The 7620-nt window shown below is 43.3% G+C and overlaps 1 annotated feature.

Moving 5' to 3' along the window:
* Positions 467–1424: an enhancer, noted in NCBI's record as "H3K4me1 hESC enhancer chr3:41039383-41040340 (GRCh37/hg19 assembly coordinates)". NCBI's record gives its function as "activates a minimal SCP1, AML or CMV promoter by ChIP-STARR-seq in naive H9 embryonic stem cells {active_cell/tissue: H9 hESC(naive)}" and the evidence as "EXISTENCE:reporter gene assay evidence [ECO:0000049][PMID:30033119]".

Raw genomic sequence — 7620 nt, forward strand, 5'->3', positions numbered from 1 at the left:
ATTAGGGGCTCTGCATTAAAGATCACTCAGAGTTAACAGCAAAAAAAAAACAAAAACAAAAACAAAAAAAAGTGCAATCAAATATGCCAGAAACTGAATTCCCACAACAACCCCAGGCCATTTGCATTAACATTCCCATTTTACAGATAATGACACAGAGGCCCAGAGAAGCTCAGTGGCTAGTCAGCTCTGAATTCAAACATATGTCTTCTCTCCACAAGTTTCTCCCACTCTGCCACACTTGTGGATCCAGGGTTGTATTTCAAACCAGTAATTCTCAGCCTTCCCTCTGCCTTCACATTGTCTACATTCCAAAGTTCACCCATCAGTAACTTCCCAAATTACACACAGGGATTCTCCACCAGGGAGGCAGAGAGGAGGCCATGTCCCCACCCCCCCACCTCTGCAGTGGGACCCATTAGAGGAAGTGTCTGGTTTGAAAAAGGCTCCCCAGAACCTTCTAAAACACCCTCTAGGCCACTTGAGTATCACTGATTTAATTAAACCAAAAGACACAGGCCAGATCACATAATCATTTTCCTGCCCACATAACTGCTATTTCCATTCCCAGGGACATTCTTGGAGTAACATTTGACACACACACCCCAACCCCAAGCCTTTATTCCTGGATTCTTTGTAATGTGGGAGTTTATCAAAGAGCTGCATTTACTAACTAGAACACGCACAGCCGGGGCCAATGTGGAGGTACAGACAGTCATGTTAGAGAAGACAGGGGCTCTGGGCTACCTGGGAGCAGAGAATGGTGAATTCAAAGATGAAAAGGGGTGGGCACCGGGAGTGAGGGGTGGGGGAATTCTGCCCTCCCCGCCCACCAGGGGGTTCCACCAAGGACAGGAAGGATACAGCAGCAGATGAGGACGGTGTCCCAGCCACATACCCTCGCTGCACGCTGGAGGACTCCTGCAGCCGGTGGATGCCCACCTGCTGAGGCTCTCCGTCCTGGGCCTCCGTACCTGTCGACCTGGGGGCGTTCTCCGGCCACAGGCACACGCCGGGCCCACATACAGCTTAGGTCTGAAAGATGGGAGAGTAGATGCCTCAGAAAGTTTCTCAGACAATGAGGGATGGGAGATAGTGAAGGAAACTCCAGTTTGCTACACCTTGGTGAGAAATTCTGAGGTATGTTCTACCCTGGTTCCCAGAGGGCCCCAGCGGGAGGGAGCCCACTTGCCCGCAGAGCACTGTGCTCATTAATGCCCCTTGAATGGGTTTCTCCTCCTGCCCTGACTCACTTTCCCACTCCCTCATGGCTGCTTTCTGGGATCACCTCCCAAATAAACAACCGGCACCCAAGTCCTCGTCTCAGGGTCTACCTTGCAGAAACCCAAATGAAGACACACACACACACACACACACACACACACACACACACACACACACACTTAAATGTTTTCAGTCCAAGCTCTTCCTCAGGCTTCAGGCTTCAGTACCACACACCAGTTGTCTACGGGACACTCCCATGACACCCCAGCCGGACTCCTTGTTTTGCCCTGTGGACTCATTCTCCTCCCTCCTCTGCCGAGTCAGTTAACTGCATGAGGATCCTTTCCTAGAAGTATCACCTCCCGCTGACCTCAGGGAGTCATTTAAGTGACCCAATTTGGATAAAATGAAAGCCAGGATCAGTTTTTTTGTTCAGTTATTGGGAAAGAAAATCTCTTATTTCCATCCCCAAGACATGGGGCTGCCGTTTGTGTGTGTTTGTGTGTGTGTGTGTGTGTAAAGGCAGAGCCTACTAAGAGTGAAGAAGAGGCTGAAGCTGTCAGGCAGCTGTTACGGGTTCTCTCCGCTTCAGGGTGCCAGCCGCTTCCAGCTGCATCTCTTTGCCCATGGGCTTTCTCAGAACTCTCCGAAGGCTGCACTGCCTGAGTGCCCAGCAGCTGGAAGCGCCGGGGAATTAATACTCCCTCAGGGAGGCCCTCTACCATCGACTGATGGGAATTGTTGCCCCAGCTGCCTCGCCCCTCAGGTGGGTAACACTGAGGCATGCAATCCACCAGGTTTCCCAGAGCTGCACTGTGGGATTAAGCTCCAGATACCCACAGGGAGAGCTGGCTGGATCCTGCACCGCTTTTTGGCTATCTTCCCTTCCCTGTCTCACTTCCCCACACTCTCACTGGTACCTCCTGCATCTTCCAAATCACAGTCAAATTCTTGCCTCAGGGTCTGCTTTGGGGAAACCCACATTAAAAGGTGGCAACACCAAGGACACAGTTAAAATAACAAAAGGAGGCAAGGAAAAGTAGTCTCAGTCATCATTTGAACCCTGGATCAAGTAATGTCTGAGGCAATACAGCATTTTTTTTCCTTAAACAAACCTGGTATTTTTTTTTGTCAGTTGCAACACTGAGTCTTAGCAGATATATCTAAAATTGTGCAAAAACCACTGGACAACACTGACACTGCCATTCCAGATCCTTCACAACGTGGTTCCAGCCTTAGCTTCTCCAACACTCTACCCCACCCTTCCCCACCTCCAGACACAGACCAGACTGGGCTCCTCACTGATAGTGGAAACCCTCCATGCACTTTTGTACAGTCAAGCCATTTCTGCCACTAGGCACATCCCACTCATGCACCCAGCCCTTCTCTGTTGGACCAAATGCCATCCATCTTGCAGGGTTCGAGTCTGGAGCCCTCTTTGCTCCCTTTACCCAGGTCAAAGTCTCCTCCATTTTCTGGCAAGATATTGTTCACTTCTCATGGCACTTTCCATGTTCCTCTCATGTGTATAATAGCAAGAATTTTCTATTAAAATTACCACCTGTCTCAGACAGGAGGCTCTGGATGCTGCTCTTGCCTTGTGTCTAGGTCTGCCTAATGGTTACACAGGTGTGTTCACTTTGTGGAAAATTATCAAATGATGTGCTTCTAATGTGTGCACATTACCTGTTAATAAAATCATTTATTTAAAAATAAAATATCAGCTGCAATCTAAAGTTCTCATGGCAGAGGGAAAGTCCTTTTTTCCTTCTGAGTGCTATGATACATTTGGGTTATACAACTTGAGGATTAGGAGATGGCTGAATGACTTGCCCCCAAGGAGGAAGAATTGTGGCTTCCCAGAGTCGGGAAGAGTGGGTGAGCAGGATAGACGGAGGAAAGGAAGAACAACCACATACCCACAAGGCGATTGCCACTCCGTGACTCTCAGCTTTCAACACATTATCTAAATTCACAAAATGCTTGGCACAAGTGGATTTTTTCTGGACTGTGGTAAAGTGGCTTAGTTCCATGTGTCCACTGACGCAGAATGAGATGTTGTTAGCATACTTGATTCAGGAGTTGGCAGTAAAGAGCCCCAAGAGAGGGTAACTCTGAAAATTAGTGTTTGTCACTGGGAGGACGTCAGACTTTATGGGGCCAAAAAATTGGATGTTGAAGCCAAGTTTAGTCCCTACCAGAGGAATAGGAATATGATACAGTGTTCTCAGTATGTCTTTTCTCCTTTATTGGTCTGTAAGGTTCTTGAGGTTGAAAATAGCAATTGGATGGGTGAAGAGAGAGAAATATTTCCCCTTTACTTGTCCTCTTTTCTCAACTCTAAACACAAAAAGGTGCCGACCAAAATATTTTTTGCATGAAGTAATGAAAAATAGAGAAGAGGGACTTGGTATTCTTGGATAGACAAGAATTCTCCTGATATAGAAGCGCCTAAACAGTATAAAGAACAAAAAAATTATAGTTGAAGACGAGGCTGAAATCTCAGTTTAACCACTTACTAGTTGTGTGACTTTGGGCAAGTCACAGCCTCTCTGAACTTCAGTCTTTTCATCTATAAAGTTGGTGCCTAAGGAAATAATTTTATAAATGGTAAACTGCTTTTTAGATTTCTGTGTTGACAGCATTGTTTTCAGGACCTGCATTCTAAGCTGGCAAGGCTTGCCTGAACAGTGTAACTTTTCTGCACACAAATTCCTCCCCCATGAGTTTGTAAACTCTGGCACAGCTGGAACAGGTATCAAAAGTATAGAAATGCAAATATTCATTGATTGAATTCGCACAGAGGTGTAAGTGATTCTTGGTAGATTCGTTCCATAAAGAATAGGTTTTCTTTGATGAAAGGACACTGGGAATTTTAGCAGGATGGGGAGAGGCCACAAGAGAAGGGACTGGGGCCACTGGCAACTTCATTTCAAATGCCATTAAGAAAAGGCCCTCATACCTCCCCTGCTGTATCATCACTGCTATGTGTTATTGTCATTTGTGTTCCTATCTCGTTGAAGTAGGCAGATGTTACATGAACTTTGGATAGAAATGAACCAGGTGTGAAATGTGTCTTCTCAAAGTAACACCTGCAGGAAGTTGCACCTGGCCCTTCTTCTCAAAGTGCCTCCCAGTGAGGGAGTGATGTTTGCCAGATGCACCCTTCCAGCATCCCTGTAGGGCCCTACCCAGTAGTGGGTGCAGCAGTTATCCTGTAGATCAGGCCTTCTGACTTTTGGGTGGCTAAGGAATCCCTGGGAGTTTTGTTTAAATGAAGACTGTAGTTCTGCAGGACTGGGGTGGGGTCTGAGATCCTGAATTTCTGACAAGCTCTCCCAGGTGATGCTCATGCTGCTGGTGCATGGACTGTGCTTTTAGGAGCTAGGCTGCAGAGGCTTGTTAAATTAACAAATGAATGAATAAGTAATAAATGAATTAATTTGTTAAAATTCCATTACCTATATTATCAGTCGTAGCTCTTTCATCTACTAAGAGACTCTTACCTGTCTGCCCCTCCCAGGAAATTGCAGGTTATTATTTGCAGGCAGCTGTCTGACAGGAAGCCAGGATCTGTCTTCAGCCATGTGGCCTGTCTCTGCTTTTGAGCAGCAGCTGCCTACCCCTCGGCCCCCACACCCCCAGCCTGTGCCCTGTAACTCACCAGGTAGCATTTGATGTGAAGATGAAAGGACCGGCACACCTGGGTGTCTGCCCCACTCTCCAAGCTCTACTTCCTCGACATCAATCAGTCCAACCCTCTCACTGATTCAAATTAAAAGCTGAGCTCCCCAGCTCCTGCTGCAACAAATTCTGGTTCACAACTGAACCCAACACCAGCTCAGCCTGGCCCAACCCCAAGAATAGGTGGTGGGACCAGCCACTGGTCACTTCCTTGCTCAACCTCTGGGGACCAATTCCATGGTCAGCTGACTGTCATTCTCTTCCTAACTTCCCAGGTGCTGTGTTGGACAGCATCTGGGAATGGGACAGGGAGAACCCTAAGCATCTTCAAGGTGCGCATAACAGCACATAGCCTGCCAGCTGGTTCACCTCAGAGCAGCCCGTGGGCACAAGTTTTTTTCCAAATCCCTAGTATTAGGGTATGCTCTGTTTTGAATAGTATGAGCTAAGAGCTTGGCACCTTGTTTTCCATGGCTTCTCGCTGCACAAGAACCTGTGTCAAAATGAGTTACTGAGGACAAGAACGCCCCTTCATCTCCAAAATCAGCCAGATTTTTAACTTTCGGGTTCCTTTTGACATATACCCCTTATGGATATGAGTAATACCCCCTTTTTGGAGGACTTTGGTGAACAAATTTAATCCATATTTGTTGAGCACTAAATCTTAAGCCCTGTCTATACTGTCGAGGACACTATGGTCAACAAAACACACAGGTCCCTACTCTCCCAGAGCCCACATTCTAGTGGGCAGGGAGAGAAAACAAACAAGTCAATAAATAATTAAGATATTTTCAGGTAGCCACAAGCCAATTGCAAAGACAATTAACTGTTGGCAATTTGTATGTCTTCTTTTGAGAAATGTCTATTCAGTTGCTCTGCCCATGCTTTAGTTGGGTTATTTATTTTCTTGCTATTGAATTCTGAATTTCTTATACATTTTAGATATTAACCCCTTATTAGATATATGCTTTGCAAATATTTTCTCTCATTCCATAAGTTGTATTTTCATTCTGTTGATTGCTTCCTTTGCTGTGCAGAAGCTTTTTAGTTGGTTACGATCCCATTTGTGTATTTTTGCTTTTGTTTCCTGTGCTTTTGGGGTCATATTCAAAAACTCATTGCCTGGACCAATTTCGGGAAGCTTTTCTCCTATGTTTTATTTTAGTAGTTTCATAGTTTCAGATTTCACATTTAAGTCTCTATTTGCTTTTGAGTTGATTTTTGTGCATGGTGTACAAAGTGTCCAATTACGTGGATGTCCGGTTTTCCCAACACCATTCATTGAAGAGACTATTATTTCTCCATTGAGTTCTTGGTACATGTGTCAAAGTTCAGTTAATGTTAAATGTGTAGATTTATTTCTGGGCTCTCTACTCTGTTCCATTGGTCTATATATCTGTTTTTATGACAATATCATTTTGTTTTGATTAGCATACCTTTGCAGTAATTTTGAAATCGGGCAGTGTGATGTTTCCAGCTTTGTTCTTTTCACTCAAAATTGTTCTGGCTATTCAGGGTATTTTTTTGGTTCCATCTGAATTTTGGGATTGATTTTTCTATTTCTGTGAAAAAAGTCACTGGAATTTTGATAAGAATTGCATTGAACTTCTAGGTCACTTTTGGTAATATGAACATTTTAACAATATTAATACTTCCAGTACATGAACATGGGATAGTTTTCCATTTATTTGTGTCTTCTTTAGCTTTTTTTGTCAATGTTTTATAGTTTTCAGTGTACATGTCTTTCACCTCCTTGGTTAAATTTATTCTTAAGTGTTTTTATGCTATTGTAAATGAGATTTTTCTTGATTTTTTAAAAATAGTTTATTGTTAATGTACAGAAACACTATTAATTTTTGTAAGTCACTTTTATATCCTACAACTTTACTCAGTTTGTTTATTAGTTCTAACAGTATTTTGGTGGAGTTTTTAGGGTTTTCTAAATGATTGTGCCATCCACAGAGACTGTTTTATTTCTTCCTTTCCAATTTTATTTCTTTTCTTGCCAATTGCTTTGGCTTGAAATTTCAATACTATATTAATTAGAAAGAATGAGAATGGGCATCCTGTGTTCCCAATTGTAAAGAAAAAGCTTTCAACTTTTCACCATTGAGTATGATGTTAACCATGGGATTTTCAAAAAGTTCATGGAAAATGCATATTATGAAAACACTGCGCATGTGTTTCAAATCTTTTTCACACCAAAACAAACTTGTACTAACTTATTATAATATGTCTGAACGGGATCTAGTTTGAGGTACTAAGAAGAATAAGACATTACTTGGAAAGGAGCCCCTATTAGAGGAGCATGAATTCTGCTAAAACTGAAACAAGAACAAACATCAAACTTATGATGAAGCTTGGGTGGAAGAATGGTGAAATCATTTATGCTTTATGGAAACTATATGGGGACAATCCCCACCAAAGAAATCAGCAGTTTAAAAATGGATAGTTTATTTTATGAAGGGACAAAGCAATGTTGAAGATGAAGCCCACAACAGGAGACCACTCACATCAATTTGCAAGGAAAAAGTCTTATTTGTGCCCTAATTGAAGAGGACTTATAATTAACAGTGCAAACAATAGCCAACATCATAGACATCTCAATTGGTTCAGCTTATACAATTCTGACTGAAAAATTAAAGTTGAGCAAACTCTCCACTCGATGGGTGCCAAAATCAATAGAAATTTTAAATAAGTGGGATCAAGATC

The sequence above is a fragment of the Homo sapiens genome, chromosome 3 (assembly GCF_000001405.40).
Source record: "Homo sapiens chromosome 3, GRCh38.p14 Primary Assembly".
Lineage (NCBI taxonomy): Eukaryota > Metazoa > Chordata > Mammalia > Primates > Hominidae > Homo > Homo sapiens.